General features: G+C 35.9%; 1 annotated feature.

The window, feature by feature from the left end:
- Positions 4500 to 4669: an enhancer, noted in NCBI's record as "experimental_44671 CRE fragment used in MPRA reporter constructs". NCBI's record gives its function as "activates a minimal promoter by MPRAs in K562 erythroleukemia cells, with activity observed for the non-introgressed 16:76705931 variant allele {active_cell/tissue: K562}" and the evidence as "EXISTENCE:reporter gene assay evidence [ECO:0000049][PMID:34662402]".

Raw genomic sequence — 17518 nt, 5'->3', positions numbered from 1 at the left:
ATTTGCAACTTCCTCAACTGCTCCTATAGACAACATCACTATTGTCAACATCTAAGACTTGTCTTTGAGATATTTTTCAGACTTTTGCATTCTGGTGACCAACTGACTCACTCAGATTCCTAACTCACACCAAGGAACTGGCTCAACCAGTTCTGTGACTCTCACCCAGAAGCTGACTCAGTGCACAAAGACAGATTAGGCAGTCGTATAATTTCATCCCCAACTAAGTAGCAGCACCCATTCCCTAGCCCCCTGCCCACCAAATTATCCTTAATAACCCTACCACTCCAAGAGCTTTCAGGAAGGCAGACTTGAGAAATGTCTGCTGTCCTTCCCCTTGACTGGCCCTGTGATAATTAAACTCTTTCTTTGCTGCAATACCTGCTATTCTCAGTACATTGGCCTTTTCTGGGCAGTAGCTTTCTGAAAAGATGAACTCATTGGACTGTTATATTCCTAGGTTCATGCTATGACCTTTATGCTTTGCAAATATCTTTATTATATATATGTAATATTATGTTCTGTATATTTACACATATATGTGTATATGCATATGATGTGTATGGGTGTATATATACACACATATACATAATTTGTAAATACATCAATTTGTGATGGCTGATTTATATGTAGCATAAGCTATTACCAACCCCTTAAGATTACTTTCTTTAGCTGTTGTTTATGTAACTCTTGGATTGAACTGCTTTTGAAATACACATTCTCCTACTAAATTTTGTTGGAAATAAACACATTTGACAATATTACATGATATTACTTCTGCAAGATCAATCTGCTAGAAATCTTCCTTTAAATTATAATTATATAAAACGAAAGTATTCCCTTACAACAGCATTTGCCCAGGATATATTAAATGAAAGCACTATCATTAACATTATTCTAACCAACTAGCTTTGTTAAAGAATCAGGCTTTGAGTGACTTCCTGTAAAACAGTAAGAATATAAATTTAGTCTCTGCCCCCATTTCCTGGCACAAAGGCCCCTTGGAATCTCTGCAGCGATTAGTGTCTTTTTATCTGGAAGTGAGATGACTGAGCCTGCTAGATAGCCTTTGGATGACAGTTGGCTGCCAGGGGAATGTGACTAGAGGGCTGTAACTTTCACTGAAGGTTGAACTGATCATCAATGGTTAGTGATGTAATTTATCATGTCTATGCAATGAAGCCTCCATAAAAATCCAAAGGATGGGGTTGGTAGAGCTTCTAGGCTGCTGAACATGACCACTGCCAGGAGGGTGGCCCACCCCAACTTCACGAGCACAGAAGCTCCTGCTCTCAGGATCCTTCTGAACCTCCCCTTATAAACATCTCTTCATCTGGATGTTCATTTATATATTTTCAAATATCGTTTGTAATAAATTGGCAATAGTAAATAAAATGTTTCCCCGAGTTCAGTCATTCTAGCAAATGACTGAACCCAAGGGGGTTACAAGAACCTCCAATTTATAGCTGGTAGGTCAGATGTACTGGAAGCCTGGACTTGCAACTGGCATCTGAAGTAAAGTCTTGTGGGACTAAAACCTTAGCCTATGGGATCTGGCACAAACTCCAGGTAAGCAGTGTCACAACTGAATTGAATTATAGGACACCGAGCTAGTGTGGGGGAACTGGTTAGTGCGGAAGAAACGTACACACATACATCCAGTCACAGAAGTGTCCTGTGTTGTGTGTTGAGAACACAGCAGGTGAAAAAGGCTTGTCTTCTCCTACTATACACTCCCCCTCCCCCACCGTGCGCTAGACTGCCATTGAACCTAAATGAAGACTCTTTTCTCACCAAGAAAAAATGTCATTTCTTATAACTAATCAAACACAGAACTATGGCTGCATCCTTCCTATCCTGAGAGCTAGCTTTCAGTCCTGAATCCGAATGCCCATCATGAAATGCCTTTTTTAACGGTTGAAACCCATGACTTTCCCTCTCCTCTAACTACTCAGTGAAATTCTTCATGGGTATATTCTTAAGGGTGGCATAAAAATGAACCCAGACTTAAGAAAAAAAGTTTTGTTTTATACCAGCTTCAGTTGCTTTCCTGGTATCTTTGAAATCTGTGTTTAGGATACTAATTTAATTCCTTATCCATTTAGACCTGAAAATAAACTAATCAGAATAAAGCTGACATAAACTTAAGCCTAATGTTTTATCAAATATTAACACCTCTGATTACAAAATTGTTATCATCATCTTTCACAATTTCTTAGAATAACTGTCTCATCTTTGATATTTTTATGTCATAACAAATTCAGAAACAGGATTTTTCCCTTTATTTATCTTCCTTTTACTTTTTGTGCTCATGACTATAATATCTGTACTCTTCAGACAAGGCTTGTTTTGTGTTTTGCTGTTGTTGTTTGAGCTTTTAGAAAATCCTTTGACAAAACCTTTGTTTCATCCTCCACTGCATAGTGTACGTATCCTGAATGTATCCAGCCGAGCTTGATTACATGAAACATAGCCTCTAGAACTTGGGAAGTACTTTCTTTTCTACCTGCCCCACTCAAAAAAAAAAAAAAAGAAAGAAAGAAAGAAAAGAAATTGGAATTTTTTTTTATGACTTACTGTGGGCTTGCTGAGGACTGTGTGACAATGTGGTAAATAAACCAAGGATTTAATTGAAATTTTCTTTCTGGTAATCCAGCCTCTATCCAAATTGGTTGAACACTACAACCATCATTGTTTCCATTTCATTTACTGCCCATAAAAATGAATTCACTTGAATTCAAAGGCTACAAGCTCAGAATATTTGCAATGTAATTTTGCTGGGCTGTAAGACTGATCTCTCCACATTTTTTGTATTCATATTTTATTAGAGAACATTTACATAGGAATAAAAAGAAGTAAAGAAAGTTGTTCAGAATTCCATTACAACTTATTTTCACGTTTCTTGCCACTCCACCTTCACATGTTAATTTTATACCACTATCATTAACACTTTTGATATGGGTATGTTAGCATAAGCATTTCTGCAATTACCATATATATTTTATAAACATATTTTGTGGATATCCAATATTATATAAACCTGATTTAGTTTTCTTAATCAATCTTTTATTATGGGAAATTAAAATCGTTACTACTTAAATGATTAAAATTAACCTGCAGTTCAATAGTTAGGCAAATAGATTTTTCTCCATTGTCATTTTTTTAGAACAAATACATTTTATAATATGTAGTGGCATTTCTGGGTCAAATGCTGTATGCTTTTTAAATGACTTTTGTTAATCGTGTGTGTATGCATATATATGTGTATATATATTTTTTTCTTTACATAATATACAACTATGTACTTCTGAATGATTTGAATATAAGTCATAGACATCACATCCCTTTTTCCACAATAAATTCAGTAACTATTTTCTAAGAATTTGTATTTTCTCTTATGTAATTGCAGTATAATTATCAAAATTAGAATACATAACAACAATACAATAGTATTAGCTATTCTATAGTCTATACTCAAACTTTACCCATTGTCTTAACAATGTCTATCATAATAACTTTTTTAGTCACAGTCCAAACCAGAATCACATTTAATTGTCATGTATCTTTATTCTCCTTTAACAGAAAACAATTTTCAGACCGTTTTTTGTTTTCCATGACCTCAAGACTTTTGAAGAGCACAAGCCAATTATTTTGTAAAATTTCCTTCAACTTGTATTTGCCTTGTGTTTCCTCATGGCTAGATGCAGGTTATGCATTTTTACTAGGAAAACTGTATACGTGATGCTGTGCTCACTGGACAGCATTATTTTAGGAGACACAAAATGTCAGTTTGTTTCTTTACTAATGATGTGAAGTTGATCTATTCATTAGTTATTGTATACCAGGTTGCTTCCCTATGAAGTCACTATTTTTTTGTGTGTGATTAATAAGTATTTGAAGGAGACACTTTGAAGTTATGTAAATATTTTGTTCCTCATTAAAATTTTACCCCCTATGATAACAGCTATTAATGATCCTTGCCTGAATCAATCATTATATGATGGTTGCAGGAAGGTGATTTTATAAGGAATCATTAGTTCTGCACTTACTAGTTGGTCCTCTGCCACACATAACAGCTATCTCTTTTCCACCATTAATGTATTTATATCAGTACAGGTTCATATTTGCGTATTTTATTCCATAAATATTCTGTTACTCTTATTATTCTGATGCTCAGATTGTCACAGATTTTGCCAGAGGGAGCCCGTTCAAGCTGACATCTGACATGCTCTCATAATATTTTAAGTACTACTGTAGTTTTGGGCACAAGACGTTCCAGGCTTAGCTTCCACTTTTCCTACCCCAACATGGAAATCAGCCATTTCTCCAAGAATCTCCGATTCCTTTAATGGGTCATGGTTTATAGAAACCAAGGTCCCGGCACTAGGTATGCTCATCCCAGGATGTCGATGCTTCTAGCTCTTATCAGTAGAATCCAAGAACTATGAACACGAATATAAATATAAGTAGTGAATATATTGATCTATCATCCATATATTAAAAGGCACGAGTCCATACCAATTTCTCACATTTTAATTTCAACATGACTGGTTATAATGTTTTCTTTCCACTTACTAAGAATTAAATTATAATTTCTATCCATTGTTGGCACACTCTAAGTAATTGATTACTTAATCTGTATTTATTTTTCATTATACAAAATCATTACACACCCAGAAAATACCTGTTTCCAAAACTCCAGGGTACCTTCCCGTCATATTTTATTTAATAAGTTTCTTTACAACTTGTTACAATATTTATATCTATTTCTGAGCATGACAAATTCCTCTTTAATATGACAGTATTTAAAAATCACCCTTTTTTTAATATATGCCTTTATATTTTTAATGTGTAAAAAGATTTATATGTTTTACTGGAAACTGAATCACAGATTAATAATAGGAAGTTTGCAGCATAAAGGTGAAATTATTATGAACACAAAACATAATAAAAGAAATTTGCTTTCAGAATGGTAGGGCCCACCAGACTCTCCAACAAAACAATCATTTAACTGGAGGAAATTATTAAAAACCCCCTAAGGTATCTGGAAATTGTCCTAAAGTTATACAGATAATGGAGAAAGATCTATTCAAGAAAAATCTACTAAGCAGTGGTAACAACAGTGAAAACCTATGGCATTTGAGCCACAACCTACTCCCTCCCCTATCCCTAAGCTCAGTGTGATGGAAGTTTTACTCTGTGTCCTGTAGCTGGAAATACAGTCTCTTCTTTCCTCAGCTCACAAGCTAAGACTGCAGGTCAACCCTAAAGAGGTACGTAATTAACACTTGTCATTTCCTTCAGGTCTCTGTTGCCCAAGCTCTACTCGTGAAGGCTTGGTTGACAGGGCAGCCCCCCTTCTCCTGCACAGAATAGGAGCTCTACTCCAAGCACAGGAGACCAAGAATGCTTGGCACTAATTGTCCTAGCCCTGGCTGGCTCTTGAGAGAGACAGAAGTTGTGTGCTAGAGAAGAAAGCCAGGAAGCCTAGATGCTGCCAACCTCCCAGCACCTGCTTTCAGAGCAAGGTGTCACACTGGAAGCAGCATTCACACATCCATTCATTCTGTAATCCATGAGGAGCTCTTTCCTGATAGGATGGACTTCGCAGAAGAATATGGAAAAGTCCATGCCTAAGGACACTGTCAAAACAACACAGATTCTGGTGGAGAATGATTAAGGGGGAGTGCATAGCTCCATGATAATTGTAATAACAAATAAAAGGGCAGAGCACCTGGATGTTTAGCAGAGAGAACCAAGGAAAGAGAAAGCCAGTAAGAGCAGAGCCATCCTGGGTCCTCAATCATCCCTGGGGTGATGGGATCGGGAAAGCTGTATACAGTGCTAGGATGCACCCACTTAGGAGTAATCATAACACAGGGTGACACAGACTTAAAATCATTCAACAAGTCACGTGCAGATCCAGCCACAAAGGGCAGAAGTCTCACTGTCACTAGGAGATTAAGCACAAGTTCTGACCCAAACACTGGGCAAACAATTAGCAACTCTGACTCAGATGAAACTCTAAGGAAGCTGGGCTTTAAAATAAAATCACAACAATCTCTGGCAGTCTGAAATACTGTGTGCATGCCCAAAGCTATATCCCTGTAGGAGGGATTGCAGGGGGAATGCCAAGCTATGAGTCCCTGGCTGAAGATGGGGGCAGGAACCTAAACTTTTTAAACCGTAATCACAGCCTCCAAGCCATGATCTCATCAAATGGTAAAGGCCAAACTCTAGTGAGCTAAGAGGGCTTAAGCACAACATTTGACCAAAATGTGGCTTATGCTGACTCAGGGTAATGTCTACACAGCACTGGACATGGTGCAGAGACATCTGTCTATCCACATACAAAGTAATGAAGTTGGGCCCTTAACTCATACCTTAAACAAAATTAACTCAAGATAAATTATGAAACAAGCACACGAGTTATAAGTGTTAAAAACTCAGAAGAAAATATAGGAGTAAATCTTTGTGACCTTGGGTTACGGTACAGTTCCTCAGATATGACACAAAAACCACAAGTGACAAAAGAAGAGATAGATAAATGACCACATCAAAATTAAAAACATGTGCTACAAATGATACCATCAAAAAAGTGAACATATAGTCCATAGAATAGGAAAAAGTATTTGCAAATTGTATTTCTGATAAAAAAGTGTGTATATACACACAAATATGCACAAATACACACACGTATGTACCTGTATATATTTAAGTCCCTTATCAGATATATGAATTGCAAATATTTTTAGTACACACATGCGAAAATGTATGAATATAAATCACACTTATAAATGAATAATAAAAAGACAACTCAATTTTAAAAGCAATAAATGATGTACCTAAATGGACGTTTCTCCAAAAGAATACACAAATCCTCAATAAGCATATTAAAATTCTCAACACTCAACATCATCAGACATTAGAGAACTGCAAATCAAAACCAAAATATGACTTCATACTCACAGGTATGACTATAATAAAAAAGAAAGACAAAAACAATGTTGGACAGGTCATGGAGAAATGAAAACTCTCATTCATTTTTGGTAGGAATATAAAACGGTGCAGCCTCTTTGAAAAATAACTTGAAAGTTCCTCAATGCTAAACACAGGAATATCACATGACTCAGCAATTCAACTCCTAGGTATACATTCAAGGGAAATAAAACATATGGCCTCGCAAAAACGTACATGCAAATGTTCATGTAAGCATTACTTACAATACTGAAAAAGCTGCAACAATCCAAATATCTGTAAACTGATGAGTGTGTAAATAAAAGGTCACAGATCCATGCAAAGAATATATTTGGTTATAAAATGGTATGAAATAGTGATACATGTTACAACATGAATGAACCTTTAAAACGCCATACTAAGTGAAGGAAGCCAGTCACAATAGCCTACATATTAGAAAATTGTATTTACATGAGACATTCAAAATAGATCTATAGAGTCAGAAAGCAGATTATTGTGTGCCCAGGCTGGGGGTGGGATGGGGAAATGACTGTTAATGGCAAAATGGTTACCTAGGGGTGATTAACACATTCTAAACTTAGATTTTGGTGATAATAATTCCCTAACTCTGTGAATATACTAATAGTCATTAAATTGAATACTTTAAAGAGGAAAATTTTATTCTATGTTAAGATCAATAAAGAGGTTTAACATTAAAAATAATAAATTTTTTTATATTGCTTAGCAAAATATCACAAATTTATTGGCTTAAAACAACACACATCTGATGTGATGATATATGTGCACACTGTGGAAAAATTAAGTAGAACTAACATATCCATCACCTCACATACTTATTATGACTTTATGGTCATAACATTTCATAAATATATACATTATTACTTGTCGGTTTAAAATACAATTAAATTTTTAATAAAACAACAGAAGTTTATTATCTCACAGTTTCCATGGGTCAGGAGTCTGGGCACAACTTAGCGGGTCCTCTGCACAGGGTCTCAGAAGATTGTAATCCAGACACAGACTGGGATGAGTGTCCTGTTTGGTGGCTGAATTCACTTCCCTGTGCTTAGAAGACCGAGGTCTTCCTTTTTTGGCTGTCAGCCAGGGCTGTGCTACCCTCTAGAGGCTGGCCACAGTCCTTTGTCACATAGCCCCTTTCACAGCATGACCACAAAATTTTGAAGGCTGCCAGGAGAATCGCTTTTAAGATTTTCCTCTGATTAAGTCTGGCCCACCCAGTGTCATCTTCCTTTTGTTTGTTTTTATTTATTTATTTATTTATTTTTTGAGATGGAGTCTCACTCTGTCGCCCAGGCTGGAGGGCAGTGGCACGATCTCGGCTCACTGCAACCTTTGTCTCCTAGGTTCAAACGATTCTCCTGCCTCAGCCTCCTGAGTAGCTAGGATTACAGGCATGTGCCACCACGCCTGGCCAATTTTTGTATTTTCAGTAGAGACAGGGTTTCACCATGTTATCCGGGCTGGTCTCAAACTCCTGACCTCAAATGATCCACCTGCCTTGGCCGCCCAAAGTGTTGGGATTACAGGCATGAGCCACTGTGCCCGGCCTCATCTTCATTTTGAATAACTCATAATCAACTGATGTGGGGCCTTAATTACATGTGAAAAGTCCCTTTATCTTTGCCATTTTCCATTGGCTAGAATCAAATCACAGGTCCTGCCTATGCTGAAGGAGTGGGAATTATATAGGTCATGAACAGTAGGCGGCACAAGCTCCTAAGTGTCAAGGCCCGACTACTACAGAGAATACAGAAAAACAGAAATTGAGTGTCATATCAAATGCACTATTGTTCTTGACTCTTCCTGCTATGAATTTTTGGGCAAAGAAGGTGAAAAAATACATTCACCCAGGGGACTATAGGAAATTGCAATATCCAATATGAGTAGCCCTAAGCTTAGGATGTAGCAAAATGTTTAAATATGGATTTTGTTATGAAGATGATGCAAATGTCTGAAAATTAGTGTCTCCGGTGTGAAAAATTCTGGGTAACTACTGAACGAAATCAATATGTTGCCAGAAGGAATCACAAATATAGAAGAAAAATGAGCAGAATTATTAACAACAATGAACAGCTTGTTTAGGAGTAAGGAAACTCAATAAATTAAGCATGCAAAAAACTGAGGCTTTTTAGAAATCCACTTAATCTGAGAAAATTTGTTAAAGGGATGTGCCATATATACGCTAAATCAGTTTTGGATCTAAAAGAAATAATTCATCAAAAAAACATGACCTGGGCAGGCGTGGTGGCTCATGACTGTAATCTCAACACTGGGAGGTTGAGACAGAAGAATCACTTGAGCCAGGAGTTCAAGACCATCCTGGGCAACATACATAGTGAGACCTTATCTTTATTTATTTTTTTTTAAATCAGCTGGACTTGGTGCTCGCCTGTAGTCCCAGCTACCCAACAGGCTGAGGTGGGAGGATGCCTTGAGCCCAGGAGGACATGGTCGCAATGAGATTAATTGCGCCATTCCACTCCAGCCTGAGTGACAAAGCAAGACTGTCTCTAAAATAAATAAATAAATAAGCATGGCCTTATGAAAAGAATTTGTCCAAGTATGCACTTAATTGTGCAAATAAACACACACTCACAACCTAGAAAAATTAAAAGCTGGCTTTTTAATCCATTTAGAAGTTGGAACAATGGGTAAAAGTCATACTATTGCAATATGAGTCCGATTTCTTTCATTGAACAAAAGCCTTCTGAGTTTTGTCTTTCACTAATTAATGATAAACGGCAGTTGCCTCTTATAACCCTATGTGTCCCATACAGCCTCTATGCTCTTTTACTGCTATTTCAGGCCATAGTTGGACCAAACATTTTCATCACAGAATAAAATGAATAACCACTCTTAGAGCCTTCAATATCAGTTTACTTTCAGTCTGACAATCAACTATTACACTGTTACATATATTCGTTTTCACTACAGCAGGCCCTTTTTCTAGGTATCATTACTTATAACAGTTAGGATAGGCCAGGTGTGGTAATAAACAACCCCAAGTCTCAGTGCTTAGAACAACAGAGTTATACTTTCCCCTAACACAGGCAGCAGGTGGCTCTGCACTTCATAGTGACCCAGGGATACAGGCTGACGGGACAACCATCATTGAAAACATTCGCAAAGGGGAAAAGATCTCTGGAGGATCTCAAACTAGCCATTAAATGCTCTGACCAAAGAGTCACTGGTCACTTCTGCTTACAGGTCATCATAAGTCACAGGACTTCAATAAACTGCGAGCTTCAGGAAATGCAATCATTTTGGTGCCTTGAAAGCAAAAAGCCAGGAATATTTTGTGAACAGTATTAGTGATTATCACAAAAACAGTCACCAGGATTTCAGAAATGATGATTAAAATGGAAAACATTTTTTCTATAAAAGCAAAGCGTATTGGGCAAAAATGTATGCAGATGTCCATGGCATGAGAAAAATGCTATACAAAATATGCCGAAAATAGAGTGCAACCTAAGTGACACAATATGGGGGAACAAATATATTTCTATTTCAATTTCAATGTATTATTTCTGCTAGTCCCTCTGCTGGACAGATCACACTATAACCATACCTTAAATCATTTAGCAACATTTTCTTTCAAGTGTTAAGATTAATTATAACATTTTCCTTTCATGTAACTGAAGTGCCTGCTACCTCAAGTTTGCTATGCCTGACACACAGAGAATTAGCAAATAATATACTTAAAAGGATTTTAGAGTCATTTAGCGGTATAACTCTAAACATAATTGATTTTATTAACTGAGCTGCAGACTGCAGAAGGCAAAAATCAGCAGAATTACAAGTCACTACCAGCTGGTAATGCTGGGGTTAAAAATTAGGCAGTGTAGCAGCATCAATGCTTCTGGTTATACATTCACTTCCTTTGCACGCTACACTCAAAAGCAATGATTAATTACAAAATGTAATTTTAAAAACCACTCTCCTTTATAATAGCAAAAGAAACATACTGTGAGGTAACTAGAAACAAAAGTTTAAACTGTTACCTACATTTTAATGGAGCATGGTATTAATATGACACAGTCAAAGAGACAAGATGAGAGAATATTGAGCACAGACACACACTCAGGTGTGCCTGGAAACCTGGCTTGTGAAAAAGGGAGGCATTACAAATCACTGAGAAATGATGGCTTTTTACTAAATGCTAATGGGAAAATTGAACATCCATAGGAAAAATATATCCCATGCTCACATCACATACCAAAGTCAAGCTCAAATATACTAAACATCCCAATGAGTAAAGCTTATCTAAAATGTCTAGAAAATATATAGGTAATTATTCTTGGGATATCAGGGTAAAGAAGACTTTCTTAAAGCTGCACAATCATACATGAAATACTGCTACATCTATGCAATAAAATAAATCATAAACAGATTCAAAACACAAGACACAGGCAAGGAGTATCTTTATAGCTTATTCAGGCAGCCAGTATAAAGAAATCCTAAAACTCAATAAGGCACAAAATATGTATGAGCAGTCACCTGAAAAGCAATAAACACGTGGAAAGAAAATGTTCAAGCTCACTGGTAATCAGGAAAAATGCAAATTAAAGTCAATATTTCAGTCTCACACAGGAGAAACAGTAGTATATTTTGAGGAAATTGATCTTAAGAAGGGACCAACATATTGTGTTGTTAATGACTAATATGACAAGAGAGATAAATACATATTCTGCTTTGATATTATTTGCAGGATCTTTTTTTGGGGCTTCCTTCACAACATCAATTTTTACTATAAAGAGTTCAGGGACAGACAGCAAAGGGGATATAATCAAAGCATGCCAAAAAATAATGTGTGCTGCAGTCTTAAAGGAATTTAGAGGCTTGTAGCATCATTGAGTTGACAGCCCAGCAGAAAGCACACACCTACACAAGAAATGTAGCCTGAAGTAAAGACACTCTTGGCATATAATTTATCAGGGTGCTAATATGATAAACAACAACAAGAAACATGCCAAGAAGATACTTTTGGAGGTTATTAAAATGCAGAATGGAGAAGACAAAATGCTAAATATCCCCATTTGAAGTCAGGTGTTTAGTTACATATTGCAGCACAACCTCCCACTCCCAATGTATTGGCTTACACAATCATTTAGTGTTATTAGTCATAGTAACAAGAGTTGGCTGGGCTTAGCTAGGTAGTTTGCACCTGAGGTCTCTTATACCGTTGCCATTAGATGGTGGCTGGAGCTCGAGACTCACTTGTCAGGTACCTCCACTGGGATGGCTGGAACAGCTACAGGGTGATCAGGAATCTTCTCTCCCAGGCAGGCTTTCCATGAGGCTAGACTGTATTTCTTCATAGCATGATGGTCTCATGGTTATCAGACTTCTTACATGACCCAGTTTTCCCCCAAACAAGACTAAGGAAGACATAGGAAGCTGCCACCTTCCTATGATTTGCTTCCAAAATCCCGGAAGATCAATTCCGTTGCATTCTACTAATCAAGCCAGTCGTTAAGAGCAGCCCAGATTCAAGAGGTCTGGAAGTGGATTAGACTTCATCTCGTGATGGAAGCAGCTACGTGGAGGTGCACGGAAGGAGTAACAGGTGCCTATCTTTGGGTATTATCCACCACACAAGATAATTTCAACATTTCTTCACTCCTTACAGTGTGTTACCAAAATGATTATGAAAGATGTCTTCACGTATTAACATTATATGTGAATGGATCAAGCTTGTATCCCTAGGCACAGCATGGACACAGGCCAGAACCAACTTTAGTCTTCATCATGAGTGCCGGCATGAGAAAGAGGCTGTGCTATCTCCATGTTCCTAAAATAACATCCTATAGCAGATCTCATCACCTGGCTGTTTCTGGGAACTACTGGAATCACTGATGCCAATCAAACCAGACCTATGGACTCAGATCAATTGCGTGGAATCAGATTGATTAAATGATCTTCTAAAAATACCACATGCCTGAAGAAGCTTTATCCTTAGTATTATTCCACTCACGTAGTACTTACTTTCCTTAAAGTCAGATAAAATTGGTTTATTTTACAGAAAAGCAATTAATAGGCCAGAATGTGTATTTCATTCTGATACTTAATATTATTTCTTTCTTTTTCACATTGTCTTACAAGTGAATAACTAAGATTTCCAGCTAATACTATGTGGTGTTAGCTTTTATCATCAATAATTAATTGAACTGATTTTCTTGATCAAGGTATTATATAATTTCCTGTTTAAACTTCACACACTACCACAAATTCTTCTTCAAAATCAATTTGAGTTTTTTGTTTGAATAAAAACTATCATTTGTCAGTCACTAGATGTATTTACTTTTTAAAAGTATTTTCTAAATTCTATAAGTGACCATTCTTATAAGTATTCATAATTTCAATTCGTTAAAAGTCTTTTTGCTCTCAGAACCTTTCATTTTCTCATGAAATTCAAGTATTATACTAGAAGTTTAGCCAAACAATTTAATTTTTGTACATCCCCATCTTCTGGCTCCGACTTCTGTCACCAGGAAATTCTCAGTTCAAAATGATTTTTATTGCTTGATTTATTTTTTGCTATTAATCAAGGACCTCTTTTCTACATTATAAAAGGCTATGCTGTAATTCTTTCCTGATAATGGTTGCTATCTAGTTCTATCTTCTAATTCCTTCCTCTTCTGCCTAAAGCTTCATATCTCAAATACTAAAATAATATCCAAAGTGTCAAAGTGCCATTTAATACTTTGCTCTATTCCTGGCATGAATAAAACTACAATGATCACATCAGTCTCATCATGTCTATATAATTCAAAGCAATTTCTCAAAGCAAACTAATGAACTAAAGAAATAATAAATCTCATTGCTCAATCTTTTATCTATATTTTAAAGTGTTAGCCAACATTTTTTTCCTAATCTTATGGTGTCCAATTATTTTCTAAAATGGTCATATAAAGTCCCATGAGCAGTGAATAAGAATTCGTTACTTCACGTCCTCATAAATACTTAATACTGCCCAATTAAAAAAATCCTATTCTAGTATTAACTATGAAGAAAAGAAATTCTCATGTATTGTAATTTACTAATTATTACCTTTATTATTTTCATGCTTTATATGTTAAAAGAAATATGTATTTTAATAAAATTTAGGGATAAACTGCTATCTAAAATATCAAGAATTTTGCACTGTTGGTTTTGCAAGTGTCCTTAAATGCTCACACCATATTAAAGCAATGCCATTTGCATATTACTACTACATTTGGTTCATAACACTATAAGAAGTTGAATATCTAAGGATCGTTCCAAATAACTCGAATCACTCAATCTACCCACGCCACCCATAGATCAAGCAATTCGTATGACAACTATCTTGAAAGGTGCAAAGGTAATTCTGCATCACGGAAAAAAAATAATTTACCTTTGCATTACATACAAGTGTTTTTGTTTTGGTTTAGTTTGGTTTCTTTCACAAAAAGTACAGTAGTTTACTTTTAAAATTTGCATTTAGGGAGTATCTTGTTCTCAAAAGTGATGGAAGTTGTCATAGAAACAACCATAACTACAAGAGATACATTTATCAGAGAGGAAAATATTCACCCTGATCCACTTTTTCCTTGTTGCGAAAGAAATAAGTCATTCCTCAGGAGTGACTTTTCTCTTACAGGAATATGCAGAGGATACTGACCTTCTCGGTTTTCCATTCCCAGGAGTCCTTTTTTTCAGGCATCATGAGGCTTAATTTGTCAGAGACCTGCATCCTAAACTTGTTTCTGAAGACTAGAATGTTTCCTCACAAGACTTTGAATCACTTGGGGAAAATGTCAGAACGAGATTTTAGAAATTATGTGACTGAATAGAACAGGCTGTTATTTGTATTTGAGGAGGAAAAAAACACCCATGATATTTCCCAAGGCAAGTAATTATCTTCAATAATATCTATCCTTGGTGTATTCAGAGTTAACAGAAAAATCACAGGAGTAGAAGCCGAAGAGACATTTGTAAATACCTCATTTATTTTTCCCTGCCTGAAACTGTACCTGTTACTTCTCTAACAAAATAATGCCTCTTCCTTTCCTGGTAATGTTTTATGTTGTTAACCTCTTCATAATCCTAACTCTATAACTTTGTCTTCAATATCCCTTTATAAATATCTTAACAGTTGGGTCCAATGCTTATAAAAATAGATATAAATTTTAAAAAATACATTATAATTTGCAATAAATTAATGTATTATAAGTCACGCTATAAAGCATTCATATATTCTTTACTATCTATAAAAATAAATATTTTTATATTTTAAATCCTTTTGTTAGTATTTTATTTTTATTTTTAAATTTAGACTTCTATTATTGATTAAAGGGTACATGTGCAGGTTTGTTACATAGGTTAACTGAGCGACACTGAGGCTGGAGGTCCTAATGATTCTATCACACAGGCAGTAGGCACAGTGCCCAACAGGCAGCTCTTCAGCCCATGTCCCCCACCCTCCTTTCCCCATCTACTGCTACCCACTGTCTGTTGTTTGCATCTTTATTTTATGTGTATTCAATGTTTAGCTCCCATTTATATGTGAGAATATGTGGTATTTGGTTTTCTGCTGTTGTGCTAGGTTACTTAGGATAATGACCTCCAGCTCCATCCATGTTGCTGCAAAGGACATGATTTCATTCATTTTTTGGCTGTACAGTATTCAGTGAGGTATATGTACCACATTTTCTTTAATCAACCCATTGTTGATGGGCAGTTAGGTTGATTCCATGTCTTTGTTATTGGGAACAGCACTGCAATCAACATACGGGTGCATATGTCTTTTTGACAGAGTAAGTTATTTTCCTTTGGATATATACACCTAGTAGTGGGAAGGTTGGGTCAAATGGTAATTCTGTTTTAGGTTATTTGAGAAGTCTCCAGCTACTTTACACAGTGGCTGAACTAGTTTGCATTCCCATCAACAGTGTATAACTGTTCCCATTTCTCCACAACCTTGCCAACATTTGTTGTTTCTTGACATTTTAATAATTGCCATTCTGACTGGTGTAAGATGGCATCTCATTGTCATTTACATTTGTGTTTCTCTAATGACTAGTGTTGTTGAGCCCTTTTTCATATGCTTTTTGGCCACTTGTATGTCTTCTGAGAAGTGTCTGTTCATGTCCTTTGCCCTAAATGCAGATATTTTAGAAGTATTGAACATATTTTATATATTTTCCCTGCTATTTAAATATTGAATAATTTGTCCTAGTTTCTTCCAAAAATGATTTCCAGCAACTTTCAAAATATATGGATTAGGGTGACTATAGTTAACAAAAATGTATTGTACTCAGGTAATGGACACACTAAATACCTTAACTTCATCACTACACATTATATACATGTGACGAAATTTTACATTTACTCCATAAATTTGTATAAGTTGAAAAACAATAAAAATATTTTGAGTATGATATTAACTGTATAATAAGAGTATAGTGAGTTTAATGAGAATAAGAACTACTACTTATTAAAATAATAAAACTTAAGTAGTAAAGATCAGGTAAAAATAAAACAAACATACAGAATACAACACAAAACTTGGTCCATACAAAATTACCAAAAAGGACGGCTGAATTGATTTCATTTTCTCCTTCAGTTTGTGCAGTGAAGGCAGCACATTCTCCCTCCTGCTTGGTAGTGTCCTAATGATGTTAAGCCGATGCTCAGAGGCAACAAAATTATCCTTACATCTGCTCAGAAAACCTTCCCTCCCATGGGCATCATTAAACACATTCCAGGTAAAGCACTTAACTTTGTCAACAATACCTTATACTAAATCACACAGTGTTTATCTTGTTGTATGGTAATACACCTCTCAAAATTGCAGTGACAATGATGGAAAATTGTGTTTTGGAGAAAAGGTTATCCCATATTGTATCAGAATACTGGGTTCATGACTAATTCCTCCTCGGATTAATAAATGGATAGAATTTAAGGCAACCAGAAAAACAGACAAATTAAATCATTTCAAATGTAATGTACTTTTTCACACCACTAGAATCTAGTAAGTTTCAATGAATTAAATTAAATCCACTGGTAATTATGGGAGTGCAGGTGTTCTATTTTAACATTTGTAAGTAGATTCTACCAACTAGACATAAGCAGAATTGCATTATTTGTCAGGGGAAAACCCTGAAGAAGCCACAGGCCATGTACAAAGCCTTCTTCCTGCCCATAGAAGACTAGTAGGCAAACCCTTAGTGTTATACACACACACACACACACACACACACATTTAATGTATTTGTTGAGCACCTACTATGTTCCTGGGACATTCCTAAGTCTTTCAAATTTTTTTGATATTTAATGACAAACAGGATTCCAAATGAAATCTTTATTATTTAGCTCAGTTTGCCCTAACCTCCAAGCTATTGATTTCCATTTTTTTCATTAAATATCTTAGATAACAGTCTCCAATGATATCCAACAGAATGACTTGACATGGTTTCATCAAAAAAGGGAGATTTGCTGGATTATCATTACAATCTTAGTTCAAAATAATCCAATCTCTGCTAAATATAGCAGAACC

Source organism: Homo sapiens, chromosome 16, assembly GCF_000001405.40.
Source record: "Homo sapiens chromosome 16, GRCh38.p14 Primary Assembly".
Lineage (NCBI taxonomy): Eukaryota > Metazoa > Chordata > Mammalia > Primates > Hominidae > Homo > Homo sapiens.
Note: the sequence above shows the minus strand (reverse complement) of the source record. Positions and strands in the feature narration are given on the sequence as shown.